This window comes from Homo sapiens, chromosome 1 (assembly GCF_000001405.40).
Source record: "Homo sapiens chromosome 1, GRCh38.p14 Primary Assembly".
In the NCBI taxonomy this organism is placed as follows: Eukaryota; Metazoa; Chordata; class Mammalia; order Primates; family Hominidae; genus Homo; species Homo sapiens.
Window position 1 is genome coordinate 143,788,601 of NC_000001.11, and position 18,506 is coordinate 143,807,106.

At 47.4% G+C, this 18,506-nt stretch overlaps 1 long non-coding RNA gene, 2 other non-coding genes and 2 pseudogenes across 3 annotated transcripts, besides 6 other annotated features; 1 reads left to right on the forward strand and 4 right to left on the reverse strand.

Moving 5' to 3' along the window:
- Window positions 2,754-3,378: an enhancer, noted in NCBI's record as "H3K27ac-H3K4me1 hESC enhancer chr1:149285989-149286613 (GRCh37/hg19 assembly coordinates)". NCBI's record gives its function as "activates a minimal SCP1, AML or CMV promoter by ChIP-STARR-seq in naive H9 embryonic stem cells {active_cell/tissue: H9 hESC(naive)}" and the evidence as "EXISTENCE:reporter gene assay evidence [ECO:0000049][PMID:30033119]".
- RNU1-143P (RNA, U1 small nuclear 143, pseudogene) lies at window positions 2,942-3,087 on the reverse strand (annotated as a pseudogene).
- Window positions 3,379-4,002: an enhancer, noted in NCBI's record as "H3K27ac-H3K4me1 hESC enhancer chr1:149286614-149287237 (GRCh37/hg19 assembly coordinates)". NCBI's record gives its function as "activates a minimal SCP1, AML or CMV promoter by ChIP-STARR-seq in primed H9 embryonic stem cells {active_cell/tissue: H9 hESC(primed)}" and the evidence as "EXISTENCE:reporter gene assay evidence [ECO:0000049][PMID:30033119]".
- LINC02591 (long intergenic non-protein coding RNA 2591) lies at window positions 3,895-8,508 on the forward strand. Its single transcript, NR_111933.1, has 2 exons — window positions 3,895-5,661; window positions 7,969-8,508. It is a non-coding gene; the product is annotated as a long intergenic non-protein coding RNA 2591 (long non-coding RNA).
- Window positions 4,003-4,627: an enhancer, noted in NCBI's record as "H3K4me1 hESC enhancer chr1:149287238-149287862 (GRCh37/hg19 assembly coordinates)". NCBI's record gives its function as "activates a minimal SCP1, AML or CMV promoter by ChIP-STARR-seq in primed H9 embryonic stem cells {active_cell/tissue: H9 hESC(primed)}" and the evidence as "EXISTENCE:reporter gene assay evidence [ECO:0000049][PMID:30033119]".
- Window positions 4,024-4,295, reverse strand: TRF-GAA9-1 (tRNA-Phe (anticodon GAA) 9-1; annotated as a pseudogene).
- Window positions 6,941-7,441: an enhancer, noted in NCBI's record as "H3K4me1 hESC enhancer chr1:149290176-149290676 (GRCh37/hg19 assembly coordinates)". NCBI's record gives its function as "activates a minimal SCP1, AML or CMV promoter by ChIP-STARR-seq in naive H9 embryonic stem cells {active_cell/tissue: H9 hESC(naive)}" and the evidence as "EXISTENCE:reporter gene assay evidence [ECO:0000049][PMID:30033119]".
- Window positions 7,442-7,942: an enhancer, noted in NCBI's record as "H3K4me1 hESC enhancer chr1:149290677-149291177 (GRCh37/hg19 assembly coordinates)". NCBI's record gives its function as "activates a minimal SCP1, AML or CMV promoter by ChIP-STARR-seq in naive H9 embryonic stem cells {active_cell/tissue: H9 hESC(naive)}" and the evidence as "EXISTENCE:reporter gene assay evidence [ECO:0000049][PMID:30033119]".
- A 2,932-nt stretch (window positions 8,509-11,440) lies between the features above and the next one.
- Window positions 11,441-11,511, reverse strand: TRV-CAC8-1 (tRNA-Val (CAC) 8-1). The gene has a single exon. It is a non-coding gene; the product is annotated as a tRNA-Val (tRNA).
- Window positions 11,512-15,393: 3,882 nt separating this feature from the next.
- Window positions 15,394-15,466, reverse strand: TRV-CAC4-1 (tRNA-Val (anticodon CAC) 4-1). The gene has a single exon. It is a non-coding gene; the product is annotated as a tRNA-Val (tRNA).
- Window positions 15,581-15,790: an enhancer, noted in NCBI's record as "active region_1607". NCBI's record gives its function as "activates an Ori minimal core promoter by ATAC-STARR-seq in GM12878 lymphoblastoid cells {active_cell/tissue: GM12878}" and the evidence as "EXISTENCE:reporter gene assay evidence [ECO:0000049][PMID:35858748]".

An 18,506-nucleotide genomic window follows, 5' to 3' on the forward strand; every position in this document is an offset into this window, starting at 1 on the left:
ATGGTCAGAATCAAACTTTGGAGATTAAAAACTACAACATCTGAGATAATAAATTCACTGGATGCAATTAACAGCAGATTAGACACTGCAGAAAAAAAGATTATGAAACACAAAGCCGCCGGGCACCGTGGCTCAGGCCTGTAATCCCAGCACTTTGGGAGGCGGAGGCGGGTGGATCACGATGTCCAGAGATAGAGCCCATCCTGGCTAAAACAGTGAGACCCCCGTCTTTACAAAAAAAAAAAAAAAAAAAAAAAAAAAAATATATATATATATATATATATATATATATATATATATATATATATAAAAATTAGCTGGACATGGTGGCGGGCGCCTGTAGTCCCAGCTAATCGGGAACCTGAGGCAGGAGAATGGCATGAACCCGGGAGGCGGAGCTTGCAGTGAGCCGAGATGGTGCCACTGCACCCCAGCCTGGGCGACAGAGCAAGACTCCCTCTAAAAAAAAAAAAAAAAAAAAAAAAAAAAACCGCACTGAGGGGAAAAGTCAATGTGAAATTCTACAAAAGCTGAAAATTCACTACCACCAGCCATTACCACAAAAAAAAAAAAAAGTTGAAGGAGTCCTCCAGGCAGAACGAAACTGACATCGGATGAAAATCTGGTTGTACAAAAAAAAAAAAAAAAAAAAACTAGACATGACATCTAATAGACGAATATATAATTTTAACATCTGACTGTTTAGCTGGGCGTGGTGGCTCACGCCTGTAATCCCAGCACTTTGGGAAGCTGAGGCAGGCAGATCACTTGAGGTCAGGTGGTTGAGACCAGCTTGGCCAATATGGTGAACCCCTCTCTCTACTAAAAATACAAAAATTAGTCCGGTGTGGTGGCCCACGCCTGTAATCTCTGCTACTCAGGAGTCTGAGTCAGGACAATCGCTTGAACCCGGGAAGCAGAGGTTGCAGTGAGCCAAGATTGTTCCACTGCACTCCAGCCTATCTGGAACCTAGTTTGATCTGGAGGGATCTTATTTTATAGGAGGCTTGGAGGGGGACCTTTTGCTTTATGTACTTATAGGATGCACAAGACACAAGGGAACAATCTCTCACTTTTTAAATACAGTGATAGGCCTGAGGAGAAACAACTGCAATTTTTTTTTTTTTTTTTTTTTTAATGAGATGGGATTCTCACTGGTCTTGAACTGAGCTCAGGCGAGGCTTCCCCTACGTCGGCCTCTCAAAGTGTTGGGATTAATAGGCGTGAGCCACCGCGCCTGACCACAACTAACCAACATTTAAAAGCACGTCCCTGGGTAGGCTCGAACCACCAACTTTCCGGTTAACAGCCGAACGCGCTAACCAATTGCTCCACGGAGATAACCTCAGTTGGTCGCTTTCATCTCAACATAGATTAAGCAATCACTAAACTCTAGGGGTTGCCATTCGCTTTCTGCAGGACAACTGTGCAGACTACAAAGCTTCGGAAAACCGGAGAGGCTGAGTCGACTAATCGTGTTGTTGCACGTTAGAAACGCTTGCATTGCCTGACTCTGAAACCAGAAGGGCGGCCGAATGGCCTTCACCCTCCATTAACCCTCGCCTCCTTCAGAAGCCAGTGCCTCTGGAAATGCCTGGATCTGCGACCCCAGCCTGAGCCTAGTAGGGCCCAAGGGAAGCTGAACGCCCCGACGGCTCTCATGGTAGGTAGCTCTTTCTGTTTTTTTGCGCCGCCTTCAGGCAATCATCTACTCCGCTTGCTATCCCCTCACTCAACTCGGCTTCAGTAGATGGGGTTGGTGGGGCGGGAGCGGGAAAGAGGCAGGGGAGTCAAAAGGGAAAACCTGAAAAGAAGGAGGGAGAAGAAGCAGGGGAGACCAGGACGAGACAATGGGACAGCCCAGGATGCCGGTGCAGAGGGCAGCGGCTGGATGCAGAGAAGATGGGACACGTATCAGAATGGACTGGAGAAGACGTGAGGGAAAATCACAAGAACCTGTAGCTGCCCAAGAATAAACACGTAAAAATCGCATAAATGTTTTTACATTAAAAAAAAAATCGGGGGACCGGGCGCAGTGGCTCACGCCTGTAATCCCAGCACTTTGGGAGGCCGAGGTGGGTGGATCACTCACTTGAAGTCAGGAGTTCGAGACCAGCCGGGCCAACATGGTGAAAGCCCGTCTCTACTAAAAATACAAAAATTAGCTGGGTGTGGTGGCGACGCTTGTAGTCCCAGCTACTCAGGAGGCTGAGGCAGGAGAATCGCTTGAACCTGAGAGGCAGAGGTGGCAGTGAGCCGAGATCGCGCCACTGCCCTCCAGCCTGGGCGACAAAGCGAAATTCTGTCTCTCAAAAAAAATGCATAAATAAATAAAAGAGGGGTGGGGAAGCAAAACGACGGGCAGTAGGTGTGGGGCGCATTGGGATTCTATAGTGGTTAGTACCCTGCCTTGTGCCTGCAGCAACCTCTGTTCTAATCTGAATCCTGGTACAGTCAGACTCTATCTTGGACCCACTGGGGCGAACCCACGAGTCTTTTGGTTTGCTTTTAATTCCTGCACCAGCTGCGGCCTTTATCTGCAGCCAGAAAGCAGGGTTTACCGCTGGCCCCACAGCGCCATACGGTCTGGGGAAAAGAAGGAAACCCAATAGTACACAAACAAAGGCCCAAAGAGAAACCTTCCAAGTGCTCTATGCCTCACGGTTTAGCAGAAAATATCAAGCAACTCTCAACCTAGCTGGTCTGTAGCTTCCACAAATGAAATACTGTATTCATTGCAGCCTTTCTGGTTGAGATATTTCAAATATTTGGTGGGGCTTTTAATGAGACGGAGAGACACTCTCGAGTGTGGAAGAAAAACATGAGGGGGTGTGAGGATAAGGCGACTTTAGGACAGAAAAAACAAAGAGACAAGGAAGCCACGTAAACGTTTTCGGGTAGGCGTGAGGCGATGTCAGTTTTGAACCCCGTTTATGTTAGGTAGAGAGCGCAGCCCTCTTCTAGCACAAACACCGTTTCCCACATTGAAGAAATCACAGAGATCAGCAACTCTAGAGTGCGATGAAGAAGCTTCACTCTGGGAGAACCCCCTTCGTGACCACGGTCTCTTTCCTGCCAGGTAAGTGGGAATGAGCGCATGCCCTGCAGGGACAGCACAGCGTCCTCGCCCTGGTCGGACGCTCAGGTTCACCACCCTACCCACTGCCCCCTTCGCCATTCTTCCAAACCACTCTCTGCCAAAGATTCCACCGACAGTCACCCCACACGACAACCCAGGCCGCCTTTCAGCAGTGGCTCCCGCCCCGCAACCACGCGCCCTCTCACCCCCGCGGTTCTGCCCGCCGCCTCTGTCCAGTCTGTGCACTTCACCTCCCTGGCTCCCGCTCTCCCCTGAGCTTACAGTGGACGCGGGGTTCTTCCAAACCCCTCTTGGGAATACTGAATGGAAAAGGGGGAGCGTGCGCAAGTGCTTGGTAGAGTGTAGACATTGTGGGATTTGACTGTGGTACCATCGCTTTGACGTCCTAGTGCTGATTTTTACACCTGCATTCTGCTTAGGGCACTGGCAACAGTTTTCCGTTTGTGCCTACTCCACCTGCTGTCTTTGTTGGGTCAGCGAACATCGCCTCCCTCTACCGCTCAATCAGCAAAAGGGACCGCCCTTGAGGACCTCACCCGCCGCTCACTCCCCTCCCAACTTCGCGGGCATCGCCTCCGGTCGCCTCTTCCGAAGGCCTAACGAGCATGTTAGCTGCGAACGGAGGTGAGGAGGCTCCGCTGACTGACCGGTGCCCACGTCCAGGGCACGCACAAACGCCATGACTTGGCTTGGCCTCTCTCTTAGTTATTCACAGCTCAGCCCGATAGGCACCTCTGGGGCGGCGACGGCAAAGAGGGTGCGCTTATTAAGTGCAGCTCCACGGGGACTGGCCTCTCTGCACGGCTGTGTACACCTGAGCGAGACGCTCAGTCGCTCTCTAAAGCCGCTTCTGCGGATGACAGACACGGAGATAAACGTGAGAGGTGGCCCACCACGACTTGCCCTCCTTTGCCCGGGTTTGCCCCTCGCTGCGGAGGCTGTTCTACATCTGGCCCTTGGAGCAGGCCGGCTGACAGCGTGGTAAAGGAAGATTTCTGCGGGAGGGCGGCCAGTGCAAAACAATTCCCTGACCGGGAATCGAACCCGGGCCGTGGCGCTTTCAGCACCGAATCCTAGCCACTAGACAACCATGCAGATGCGGAAAGCTGCTTTCTCTCCCTTCTTCGACCTGAAGCGACACTTTCCTGTGCTCTAGGAGGACTTGGGTCTTGTGAGAGTCGCCCTTTGCTCCTGGAGTCGTCTCACAAGGCCGTTCACTCCCTGCTTTCTTCAAAAAAAGAACCTGCAGGCGACACACCAAGGACTCCACGAGGGAGTCCTGAGTACTGGAGCGAGTTGCGGCCACGCGGCCGCAGCTCACCACTGGCCTAGAGATGCCCTTTGCGAGGCGGCAGCAACTGACAAGATGGTCGCGGGTCGCCGGGTCCGGAGCCGCCCACCAGGTTGCCAGGAGGAGGCGGGAGCGGGGAGGCGCCCGAGGTGAGACAGGGGCACCCTCTGCATCATAAAGGACCCAGACCCCGGCACCCTCAACATCATAAGGAATCAGACGGATGCGGAAACCGAGACGGGCTGGATAGGAAACTCTTTCCAGGAAGGCTCCGGGGCACTCAACTGGTCTCCAACCTTCCCCTGCAACCTGTGACGCCTGCCATTTTCCCATTTTAGGCGATGGCAACGCAACCCCTCCGTTTGCTCTGGGCAAAACTTCGAGAGTTCCCTCTGAAGCTGGAGCTTTTTCCTCAGATCCAAGATCCAATTGGTCACCAATTCGTGATTTCCGTCGGCCAAGTGCGTGGGCATTGATCTACACGCGAGTTTCTCCACCTCTGCCGAATGGCTACTTCGGGGTGGGGGAGGGGCCCTCCCGCCGTGGATTGCAAGGTGTTTAGCAGCATCTGTCTCCTCCGCTGACTAGACACATGCCAGGGGGATAACATTCTCCCTCCCGCTTCCCCCAGCCGCGGCCTAGTGTCCCAGCGGGGTTGGGAGAGGCATGTGAGGGCCAAGTTGCCCCCTGTTGAGAACCATTGCTGCGCGTAGTCCTTCTCTCTGAACTTGTGCAGAGGACTCTCCAGGTGAAGGCTCAAGGGTGGATCCAGCTCGAGACACCCTCGCTCCCCCTCACAGTCGGACCTTAGGATTTAGGCTTTAACATCTCCACATCATGAGATTCGAAACCTTTAGGTCTTGTCTTCCGTTCTGTCCTCCAAATCGGCCTCTTCCGAGCCTGTTGACCAGGGCCAGCCGGGCAGAGGGCTGGGCTCGCTCAACGAGGCTCCTCTCGCACCTCCTGGAGCTTCAGGCTTCTTTCCGTTGCAGAGAAGCTTTATGGGCCAATTCGTTCGGCATCCCCGGGGGCAGGTGCGCGGTGCGCGGGGAAGAAGAGGATTTGACTGCGGTTCTCCACCCCCGGCGCCCAACCTCCACCCCGGTGCGCGCGCTCTTCCAGGCTCCTGCTGGTCCCACTTGCCAGGAGTTAGGTCTCAGGTCAGCCTGAGCTCCTGAGACGCCCAGGCCCGGAAAGACACGTAGGGGAAACCATCTGCTCACTTCTGTCCTGTCCGGAAGGGATCCCTTTCTGACGGGAAAGAAAGGCGGTGAGTCCTGTCCTGTTGAGTAGGCGGAAGAGAGATCAAAGGGAAGACAAGAAAAATCCTGTGAGTTTTCAGGATCTAAAGTTACCATGAGGTCGACCTAACCTCCTCTGGAGGTCCTCCCGGTCCTCCCGTGGCTGTCGAAGGTGAATCTAGCTTCCGTCTCCAGTTCGCCAAGGCGGACAAAGCCGACGACAATGGGCCTGTCCACTATCTTCTTTCATATGCACAAAATGTCAGCTCTTCTTGTTTCTAACTTGCAACATCCCACCTGATGACCAGCTCAGCAAATTAGAGACCCTCCATGGGATTCCATCTCTGTCTTAGTTCGGGCTTCCATAACTATATACCATAAACTGGGTGGCTAATTCACGACAGAAATTTATTTCTCACAGTTCTGGAGGTTGGAAGTCCGAGATCAAGGTGCCAACATGGTAGGGTTATGATGAGGGACTTTTTTCTGGTTGTAGACTGCCACCTTCTCATTGTATCCTCAGGGGGCAGAGAGAGCTCCCTGGGGTCCCTTTTATAGTGGCATTAGTCCCACTCAGACTAACGGGACTAAATCCAGACCCAGTTATTGCAATGTGTGCAAAAGAACAAGGACTTGTACTATCTGACTTCAAGGCTTACTATAAGCTATTACAGACAAGGCATCAGGAGGGACAAATAGATAAACAGACTGAGTTAAGAGACCTGAAACTGATCCACAGCCATACAGTCAATAAATGAGCTTTCAATGAAAGCAGTTCAATAGAAGAAAATAAATCATTTCAATTAATGGACTTTCATATGGAGGTGGGGGAGACCAACAATGTTATTCTCCCTCACACTACATACAAAAGTAATTTGAGGTGCATTATACACCAAAACTTAAAAGTTAAAGATATAAAGCATTTCAAGGATACTCTGTAGGTAAAGATTAGCCTACCAACAAGTAGGACACTGAAAAAATATATATAAAAGACATGATAAATTAGACTTCATCAACATTAGCCATACCTTCTCATCAAAAGATACCACTAAGAAAGTGAAAAGGCAAGCAAGCCACAGACAGAGAGAAAATAGTCACAAAACGTATCTGACCTCCACATCCTGTAATTAGAATTATTGTGGTCTGGTACACTGCACCCAGTTTCTGCAGGAGTACTTTCTGGGTGTCTCTAATGAGTAAGAGAGGGCCCCATGGGATATTCCTACAGTTCCCAGATGAACAGTGGGAAAGACTCTACGTTGACAAACCCCGGGGACCTGAAAACTCAGGTCCTCAAGGAGGGTAGAGGATACCTGGACCCTGACCCAGACCCCTAGATGGGCTGTGCCAAGAGACCCAGCAAGGGAAGGGATTCCCTCCTGCCTCAGGTTCTCTGTTCTTCTGTGGTTAGAAGACCTGAACCCAACTCCCTCTCCAAGCAGTGGAGATAGGGCTTTTCCAAGGGCTGGGGATCTTGCTGTCCTAAGGACAGCTGAGCAAGGGGGTCGAGGAGGAGCTTGGGTGGTGGAGGAGAGGAAACCGGGTAAGATGTGTGAAGCAGTCGGCTATACCAGGCACAGAGAGGACCCACTGGGACACAAGAGCCTGCATGTGAAGCCAGGCCTTGGGCCACCTTGTTCCTCAAAGGGGTGCTTACTTCCATGGGATCTTCAAAGGGACTGTGGAAAGAGAAGCCTTCAGCCCACACCTCTGAATGCTTTTCCACCACAGCATGCCCTGTGGCCTGTATCCTGCTGGTGTGGAACAGTCAGACCCCTGCAGGGCTGCAGAGCCTCTGTACTGGGCGGCATCCCAGCCTGAGTGCCAGAGCTCAGTGGGCAGGCCCCCGAGCAAGCAGAGAGGAGGGCACCTTTTGGACAGAACCTGTGGGACAAGAGCGACGTCTCATCCTTTCAGGTTCCTCACAAAATGACAGTCAGGAAGATCAGGGTGCAGACCTGATTTCCCACGAAGGGCTGAAAGCAGACAACCGGAGGGAGAGCAGCACCTGGGTCAATGAGGTAGAAGACAGAAGACCACAGTGTACTTCTGCCCTCAACCTCACCCCCTCCCACCTACATCCTCCACACCCCCTGACCACCTTCTTCAGAAACGTAATAGGAATCAAGATCCCCCCTGGCCTGGTTGCTATGGGAGGCACAGTGGCCTGATGGAGCCTGAGGCAGGTGTGGGAAGATGTGGATTGTCTAACTGGAGGTTGGGAGTCCAGGGTGCAGAAGGAGAAGCTTGGAGTGCAGGATTTGGTGGTATGTGTGTGGCAGTAGGCACTATGTTCTAATTGCCAGTTTTTTTTTCTTCTTCCTTTTTTTCTCTAGCTAAACAAGCACTGGCCTTGAGATAAGCAATGCTGAAGCACTTGCAGCTCACCTATTACCATAAACTGACTGAGCCCTCCCTACACAAGCCGTAACTACTGCTTTGATTGGACAAGAGACTGATTTCAGTAGTTTTCTCTTGATAAGAGACCACTGGCCGTGGGCGGGTTCTGGACAGTTTACAGAAGCTATGCACTTGATTGCCTTTGTGTCCCTGCTTCACCTTTTGAAGCATAGGGCCTAATTATAATGTATTTAAATGTTGTCTCCACCCCAAAGTGAACATGGGTTGCATGTAACAGGCATGTTTACTCAGCATGCATGCAGCAGGATCCCTTCACAAATATTCAGAGCTCCCCCTATTCCCTGTTGAATATGTATATGTGGCCAGCCAGATCAACGTAAATCACTATTCGCCCTCCCCTCCCTGGAAACCTACTTTTCGGGTTTCAGCAGGAAGCTATGCCTCCCCGTCTGTCAGAATGGCCACTTGCAGGCTGTAACCCTTTATAAAAAAATAAAATCTCCTTTCTAAATTTATAAATTGTGTGATTTTTCAGTTGACAGCTTTCAGTTGTCAGTCAAGTCATTGACTGGGAAAAGTCATTTGCAATATATTTATTTGAAAAATGACTCAACTCCTGAATATATAAGAGAACTTTCATAAATCAGTAATATAGAGCTAAGCCAAATAAAATCGGGCAAAATATTCGAATAGGCCTTTGCAAAGGAGAATTTCTTATATGCTGGAAGCCATAAGAAAATATGCTTCATAGTATTGCTCATTAGGCAAGTACAAATTAATTCCACACTGAGATACCACTAACCAATCACCAGTGTGTGGCTACTTTTTTTTTTTTCTCTGAGACAGGGTCTCTCTCACCCAAGCTGGAGTGCAATGGTGCGATTGGTGCAATCTTGAGTCACTGCAACCTCCCCCTCCTGAGTAGCTGGGACTACAGGTGCATGCCACCATGCCTGGCTAATTTTTATATTTTCAGTAGAGACGGGGTTTCGCCATGTTGGCCAGTTTGGTCTGAGAGCATAGCTACATTTTAAAAAGTTAGTACACCAAATGCTGACAAGAATTTGGTGCCACTTCAACTGTCATTGCTGGTGAAAAAACATTCTAGAAGACTGGCAATTTATACTAATGTTAAACTTGTACTCAGGTCGTGACCCAGCAATTGAAGTACTTCCATGAATCTCAAGTGCACAAAAAGACCTGTAGAAGAATATTCATCACAAGAATTCAATAACACCAAAATTGAGAAGTGATCTATGAAACTACGTGGATATATCTCATGAGTATAATGAACATACCTGCAGAAAAAAGGCCAGATACAAAAGATATGTCCATTCACTCATGTGAACTTTAAGAACAGGCAATTGTAACCTATGGGAATAGACATCAGAATAGTGATTAACTAAGAGGACACAGGGTGGGAATTGCCTGGAAAGGGGCTCTAACAGGCCTTTCTCAGATGATGGCAATTTTCTATAACTTGAGCTGGGTGGTGATTACATTCATCAAAAGTAAACGAACTGCACTAAAGATTTGTGCACTTTATGTGAACTGTAGTTTATTTACTGTTCTCATTGCTTGAACCCGGGAAACGGGACGTTGCAGTGAGCCGAGATTGAGCCATGGCACTCCAGCCTGGGTGACAGAACAAGACTACATCTCAAAAATAATAGTAATAGTAATAATTTACTGTTCTCATAAAAATTAGCGGATGGGGAATGGAGGCAAGCCGGTGTAGACCATGACAACTAGTTTAGATTTTATTGTAAACTCATTAAAAGCTCGTTCTCGTTTTGTGTTTTTAAAAAATCCCACTGATACAGCCGTTTTCTCTACCAGATGAGACTATAACCGTATTATTTCATCGGTGGAAGCTACAGACAAAGGGCCCTTGAGAGGCGGCATCTTCACCTATGGGAATTTTTTCTGCTCCATTGTGAGACAAAGAGCATGTCCGAGTTTTCATTTTGGCCAGGCCGCCCCCTAGTTTACGCACTGTGGGCTAAACTCCAGAAGCTGGCGCCCTTCCGGGCCAGCGGTTTACTCCGCTCTCTGGAGGCTGCTAGGATTAAAGGCAAAGCAAACGACAGGTCTTTTAGCTACAATCGCAGGAGAGAAAACACTACTGTGACTCAGATTAGAACCCAGGTTGCGGCAACCACAGCTGCAAGTATTGACCACTACACGACCAAAAAGCCTGCTGACAACCATTGTACTTCTTATATTTTTTTATGTAAAAACACTCATACTATTTTCTCTGCTTTATTCTCGAACGTCTGCAGATTTTCGTGCTTTTCTCTCTTTCATGCGCTTCTCCGTTACTCTCTCCCCATTCCGCTACATAATTTAAAAAACATCTCATCTCTCAGGACCTGGCCACTGCCTCTACAACAAGCCTCCTGGGAAGTCTCGTTGTCCCATCGACATCGACACCTCTCCCTTCTTTCGCTCCATTTTTTTTTTTTTTTTTTTTTTTTTGACGGAGTTGCTCTGTCGCCCAGGCTGGAGTGCAGTAGCGCGATCTTGGCTCACTGCAACCTCCGCCTCCCGGGTTCAAGCGATTCTCCTGCCTCAGCCTCTCAAGTAGCTGGAATAACAGGTGCACGCCACCACATTCGGCTGATTTTTGTATTTTTAGTAGAGACGGGATTTCACCATGTTAGCCAGGCTGGTCTTGAACTCTTGACCTCAAGCGATCCATCCGCCTCGGCCTCACAAAGTGCTGGGATTACAGGCGTGAGCCACCGTGCCCGGCCAAATTTCAGGCCAACACCTGTTGACACACATTGCCAGACACACGGAATCCCTCACTGAACACCGATGGGCCCACAAAACACGCGGAGGCCACGGTGGCTGAAGATGTTAGCAAATTCGGTTCGCGGTGTCTGGGGTACAGCCTCGAGGGTCCATTGGCTACCTCTGTGCAAGGACCACTCTGCGCAAGGACCAGTCACCGCTGCTCTCCTCATCTCCATTGAGATTCTCCCGCACACACCTCCCCTTTCTTTGGGCCGCTGAGGCCTCTTGGACCTCCGAGGTGATTGCCCCGCCCGCAGCTTCTCTCCTTCCGGGAGCTTCATTTCTTGTTCCTCTCCGTAGTGGCTCAGCGGTAAGCCCAAGGTCCAGCACACGAATCAGGAAACTGATGGTTCTTGGGTTTGCAGGAATCCGCCCAGAGAACAGATGAAAGTAACAGGTACCAATATCAAAACTGCAGTGACTCACCAGAAACACTACGTGCTTGCCACTTTGCTTAGCGGTTTGTTGAGTCCAACAACTGCGTGGGTCCCGGGTTAGTCTCCTGAATGTCTTTTGCTGCTACTTTGGTCAGCGTTGTTGTCAGTTTAGCTTGTGGTGGCCAAGCCCTTAAATGCACTATTAGGTTATGCAGTGTAATTCTGCAGGGCAGAAGGGTAAAGAGCCATAGTGAAGAGCAAAAAAACCTCTTGCCTTGACCGGGAATTGAACCCGGGTCTCCCGCGTGTGAGGCGAGAACCCTACCACTGAACCACCAGTGCCTCTCCCCAGCAACCCTTGGAGAATTACCGGAAAGAGTATCCAGAAAGACTTAGAAACTTCCAAGCGGCCTTTTCAAGTGTCGACTCAAAGCTAACAAAGACATCCAAACCAAATGTTTTTATAGGAAACTTTTGCTAAACAAAGTTATAAATATCAAAATAGCTCATTCATCCAAACCAAATGTTTTTATAGGAAACTTTTACTAAACAAAGTTATAAATATCAAAATAGCTCATTTGTCGGATCAAACTCTTAACTCTGAAAAAGGTCTTTCTACCTGCATTACATACCCCTATAATAAAACGTCACAAATTCATTCATGTTTCTTTTTTGTAATCCTAAATCTTCAATTGTCAACGTCAAACTGCTGCCTTAGTGGTTCTGAGAAGGTAACCTAACTGGTAGCTTAGGTAAGTAAAGTTCTAATCCAGGGAGGAAATAAGAAGCAGAAGCAGAATTAGAATTAGAGGAAAGAGGAAATAAAAGGACAGAATCAAGGTAGAGATAATGAAGAAACAAAGGTTGGTCCACTGAGTTAGTCTTTTGTCGCTGGTTTTTTTGGCAAAAGAGTAATGATCGGTCTTGTAACCATAATACTGTTATTTGTCTGCTTGAAGATGTATAAAGCATTTAAAGGAAATGTGATATAAAAAGATTAATAATGCCTGCAGTCAATATTTCATTGTTAGAGAGAATCCAATTTCCTAAGTTAATATGCTTTGATGTATTAGCTATGTAAGGAGTAGACTAGTTTAAGGAAATATTGATGGTCAAAATATTAACATATTAGTCTTTTGATGAAGTTCAAATAGAGAGATTTCTTTTCTCAATTTTCCCTGGAGAGATTAAACTGAAGAGAAAAATTCAGAGAGTTTGCCCCACATGTTGGGTCTGTGAGTCATTATGACTTTTTCAAAGACAGGAGTTGTGACATGGAATCATGCTTCTTCTCTAGCTGAGAAGCCAAGCTAGGTCCAGGCTGGGTCATAAACTTGAGCCCAACAAGGAAATCACCCTTCACATTGACCTCACAGAGCTTTGACTGTTCTCTGTTCTTTGCCCAACACCCAAGACACACACCAGCTCTGGCCAACAAACCTTAACATATTATCTATATCAACCAGAGCTACATTTATTCCCAAATCTCCTTCTAAAATACAAACCTGTACTTTCTACTCTCAACTTCTAAATTTACAAAGGCCTCATATGCATCTCAGAGTCACAGATGCTAAAACTCAACACACCGGTGAGTTCCCTGTCAGCAATATGTACCACCCTCTACCTCAAAACCCAATGATCAGACTCAAGCACAGCATCTCCCAAAGAGTAGTGCACTGCCCTGGGTGTTTCAATGATCACTAAAACCTGTTTCTAGCCCTGCCTAGCACACTTATCCTCACCACCATCTATCCTATTTGCCAAGCCAGATCTTTCTTTGGATAAACTCTCTCATTTTCATAACACAACAATTTCAGTTCAATTCAAAAAAAATAGCGTTTAAGTTTATTGGATACTCCACAAGCTTACTGCCACTTTATTACCACACTTTTCCATCTATCGGCTCTTGCATCCATTAACATAAGCAGACAAAAAACTGGACTCCTGGCCAGGTGCGGTGGCTCAAGCCTGTAACCCCAGCACTTTGGAAGGCCAAGGCAGGCGGATCACGAAGTCAGAAGATTGAGACCATCCTGACTAACATGGTGAAACCCCATCTCTACTAAAACTACAAAAAAAAAAAAAATTAGCCAGGCGTGGTGGCACCCATCTGTAGTCCCAGCTACTCGAGAGGCTGAAGCAGGAGAATCGCTTGAACCCAGGAGGCAGAGGTTGCAATGAGCCAAGACCACACAACTGCACTCCAGCCTGGGTGAAAAAGCAAGACTCCACCTCAAAAAAAAAAACAACAACAACAACAACAAAAAAAAACTGGACTCCCTACAGCCAGTGTAGTATGCACCACTCACTTGCCACACTGTATGCTGAGTGACCCTTCCACAGCTTAAATCTGCACATAACTTCAGCCTAGAACCATATAATGTCCCTTTATTTCTTCAGTACAATGATTAATACCATATTCTCTGTACCCTTCTTCACTCTATGCTCATCATTCTAACAGCTCTTGCCAATACTCAAATCCAGGAGCAGCAAACTACTTCACATGTCACAAACTTTTCACAGGTTCACACCAGTGGATTCCCCAGTGAACCAGCTGTCTTAACTCAGGCTTCCATAACAAAATACCACAGACTGGGTGGCTTAAACACGAGGAATTTCTTTCTCACAGTTTGAGAGGCTGAGAAGTCCAAGATCAAACTGCCAGCGGATTCACCTCCTTGGTGAGGGCTCTCTCCCTGGCTTGCAGACTGCTACATTCTCCTTCTGTCCTCGCATGGTGGAGAGAAAGAGAGCACTTTCGTCTTTCTTCTGTTTCTTATAATGACACTGATCTCATCATGGAGATCCCATGGTCATGACCTCATCTAAACCTGATTACCTCCCAAAGGCCCTACCTCCAAAATACCTTCACATTGGGGGTTAAGGCTTCAATATATAATATGAAGGGAACACAAACATCCATTCCATTACACTAGCACCTGCATTTGCAATCCAGCCTCTGGGCCAGGCTTAGCAGTGTAGAGCCCAAGGCTTCAATTGACAGGATTTTTATGCTCTCATGCTCTGGCTCCTTGGCTCCAGAAGCTTCTAGAACCAGTAGGGTGATACATCCTTTAGCAACTATATTGTAAAACACATGGTGGGTAAAAGAGTGCCCTATTAAGTATTTTGGTTATGCCCCCATTAGTGTGCTTGGCTCAATATATTAATAGTAAGTAGTGGTTCGCATCCACCCTCAGTACCACCCTCTGCAGTCATCCTGTCAGTTTCCATTCCATTCTCCTATCCCTGGCTTGCTGGTTCAATACTCTTAAGTGATTTACTGCTGGTGCTCTTCTTTTTCCCTCAGAGATACCTTGTGATTTCTTTGATTCTCTCCATCTCTACAGGTTAATAAGTCTAATATTTAAAAACTCTGTAGAGGGATGTTGGGAAGCTGTGGGGAGAGCCCTTGGGCTTTTCGCCTGGGTAAAGTGCAGATTCCTGAGAATTCTGGGCCTTGGCTTCCAGCTGCACTAGTGCCGGCCACTCAGCTGTTCTCAGCAGCGTCACCTGGCGCAATGGTGCTGAAGCGCACTGCCGAGAGGCCAGAAGGCAAAGCGAGAGTCGGTGGCTATGGCCTGGAACCCATTTAGGCAAAACAGAGGGCGCGCGGGGACAAAGCAATAGAGAAGGGTGGGCAATACAGGATCTGTACACCATACATTAGCAATTGTATTTATTAAATTGTTGATTACCTAAGCCTCCGGAGAGTAGTTTGGACGCTTACCGGTTTTCTGAGGATTATTTGGGGAAGGGGTATGCATGCAAATGTATGTACATAATTCGTGTGATTTCGGAATATTGACTCCATGAGTTCCAGATGCAGATTTGGAACGTTTTTAAAAAACATTTTGTTTTTGTTGTCTCGCAAATCAGCCAGATCTGCAACTGTATCAGAGTAAAGCGAAGCCAAGCTGGACCCTTAGGAAATGCGCTAACATGTCATCCACTTTCGGTGTCTGCCTGTGAAAATTCAGGCGATAAAGAGAATGAAGAGAACCTTAAGGAATTGCTGGAACCAAAGTTAATATTAAGCAGGCCTGCTGTGACGTCCTCTTCCTGGCAGACCAGTGGAAATTGTAGCCTGGTCGACAATCTGTATAGATTGATGAGGTCTAAAATGTAGTCACAGGTTCAACTACTTTTCTGTTTTCCAACCTCGAGTAAACTCACTAAATTTAAGGGCTAACAAAAAAAAAAAAACAAAACAAAAAAAACCTCTGTTTCCGCCCAGTTTCGAACCGGGGACCTTTCGCGTGTGAGGCGAACGTGATAACCACTACACTACGGAAACCACACGCGGAACCTGCGCGGCAAAACATAACCATGAAAATCTTAGATCAGCCGTTTCTATTATAGTTTCCAAATCTAAGATCGCACCACTGCACTCCAGCCTAGACAACAGAGCGAGAGTCTCAAAAAAAAGTTAGGAGAAGAAGGTGCCATTTTCCCTAGTTGCTTTTCTTACTGCGGTGGTGACCGCATTGCCTTCACACCTGAAGTCCAAGTGTTTGCACCCTGGGGAATATGCAGACAGCTGGGTCACTGGACGCCAGGCCGCAGCGCCGGCCTCGTTCTGCTTTTGGCTCTAAATGCAGTCGGGGGACGCGACTGGATCTCACCAGAGACTGGTGGGCTGTTACCCTTACCAGCGACTGGAGGGCCAACCTCCCAAAGAGGCATACTTCATGATCGCCTTAAATCAGGAAATTTCATGAAATCCCACCCCTCTACCGCCCCATTCCCATATTGTATCTCCTCCCCTGCCCACTCTGAGAGGATTCGCCCCCTTTCTGTCTCGTCTGGACCCTTTGGAGTCCCACATAGACAAGACAAAAGGGGCATTGCCTTTTCCTACAGGAGCGGGAAGAGCCGTCACAGCGGAGGAAACAGAGACTCACAGCGCGCATCCCCACATACTTGCGCCCTGCCGAGTTCCAGCAAACCCAACAAAGCACTCTGAAGCTTCTCTGGAAAAGGAAGGAGTGTGAGGTTTCTGATACGGCAAGAGGAGCCAAAGAGAGGGGACCCAGGCCTTCCCCTAGCTCGAGAGAACAAACCCAGAAGAAGGGCAGATCCGAAGGAAAAGCGCAAAGGCGGCCCAACCCCACGACCTGAGCGAGCCAAGGGTCGCGGGTTAAATTGCGTTTATCAGAACAATTGTTTGCTCACTGTCCCAAAGCCCTCCTAGGGACAAAGAAAACACTGGCATGGCACCAATCGCAGAAGGGGGCAGCATTGACACCCAGGAACAGGCGTGGAAAAGCAGGAAAAGCAGGGATCATCTCTCTCCTACCCCGTATATGGCTGCAGACATAGCAGTGGTTCTTTTCTCCAGGACCCAGTGAGTGTGCACCAGGAGAGAACATTATGCACGTTATTCATGGTGGCACCACCCAGGCTGAAAGTGAGCCTGTGCTGCTTGGGCTTTCAGGAAGGACGGGCCCAACTCTCCCTCCCTATACAGAGCTGCAGTGCCCTGGCAATGGAGGACAGACCATGGAGTTGCCTGCCCTGGACTCGGGGAAGAGGCTTTGCCCTAAACCCCATTTTAGTGGTAGCTGTCAGAGTGCCATATCCACAGACTTCAGCTGCACCACAGCCAGGAACCAAAGGACAAAGTCTTTATAAAATGAAGGTTGTGAGCTCTGTGACAGGGCATGATAGGGAAGCGGATCACATTCTTGCCTACTCAGGAGGAGGAGCTAGTGCACCTCTGCCCCTTCCCCTGAGACCTCAGCACACCCCGACATGATCTCTTTCCCACCATCCTGTCAGGGCAGGTTTTTCCACTGGACACCAGCCTACGTAACAGCCCTGACTCTTAAGCACCATCTACTGGACTGCATCCTAAACTGGACCACTGAATTCAAAAACCCTGCTACCAAAGGGCTTAGTGCTAGTCCATGAGATAAGTTTCCTGAGAATTCCGTACCCTCAGCCCCCAACAAGGGTTAGTGTGTTAGCTTTTACTTCCAATACATCACCACAACAAGCAGCATCTGAGAAAGCTACTGCTCAGAAGCTATCCACAACCAAGAAACCCATACAAAGCTAGGGCTCCCTGAAAGCACCCAGAAATGAAGCCAAACAATCATACACAACATACACCACAGTCATACCATCAAGGGAAAAAAAGAATAAAAACATTAAAAATCCTCATCCAAACAATACCAAATTCAAAACTAAGAAGCAACAGCTTCCTCGGATGAGAAAGAATCAGTGCAATAACTCCAGTGTACCCAGAGTATTTACACACTTCCAAAGGATCACACTAGTTTCTAGCAATGGATCCTAGCCAGACTGAAATGTCGGAAATGACAGATAAGAATTCCAAATACGGATTGCAAGGGAACTCAATGAGATCCAAGAAAAAGTTGAAGTCCAATGCAAAGAAATCAGAAAAACAATACAGAATATGAAAGACAAGAAAACTATATTAAGAAAAATACAAATAGAACTTCTATAATTGAAAAATTCACTAAAGGAATTTCAAAATACATTGAAAGCTTTAATAATAGACTAGACAAGCAGAAGAATGAATTTCAGAGCTTGAAGGTTGGTCTTTCAAATTCACCTAGTCAGACAAAAGTAAAGAAAAATGAATTTTTAAAAATGAACAAAGCTTTTGAGAATTATGGGGTTATGTAAAGCGATCAAACCTATGACTTATTGGCATTCCTGAGAGAGAAGAAGAAAAGTAAGCAACCTGGAAAACATATTTGAAGGAATAATTCAGGAAAGAATTTTCCTAACCTTTCAAGAGAGATTGATATTCAGATACAAGAAATTCGGACAACTTCTGCAAGATACTATACAAGATAACCAGTGAAAAGCATACAGTCATCAGACTTCCCAAGATAAATGTGAAAGAAAAAATCTTAAAGGCAGCTGAAGAAAAGGGCCAGATTATCTATAAAGGAAATCCCATCAGACTAACAGCAAACTTTTCAAAGGAAATCTTACAAGTCAGAAGAAACTGGGGCCTATTTTTAGCCACCTAAAAGAAAAAAAAAACTGCCTGTCAAAGTTTCATACTCTGCCAATTTAAGCTTCATAAATGAAGGAGAAATAGTTTTTCCCAGACAGAGAAATGCTAAGGGAATTCATTAACACCAGATAGTCTCTATAATAAATGTTCAAAGGAGTTCTAAATATGGATGGTACTTGCTACCATAAAAGCACATGTAATTACAAAGCTCGTACACCTTATAAAGCAATATATAATTGGGTCTACAAAGCAACTAGCTTAACACTATGACAGAAATAACACCTCACACATGAATATTAACCTTGAATGTAAATGGCCTGAAAGTTCCACTTAACGGGCATAG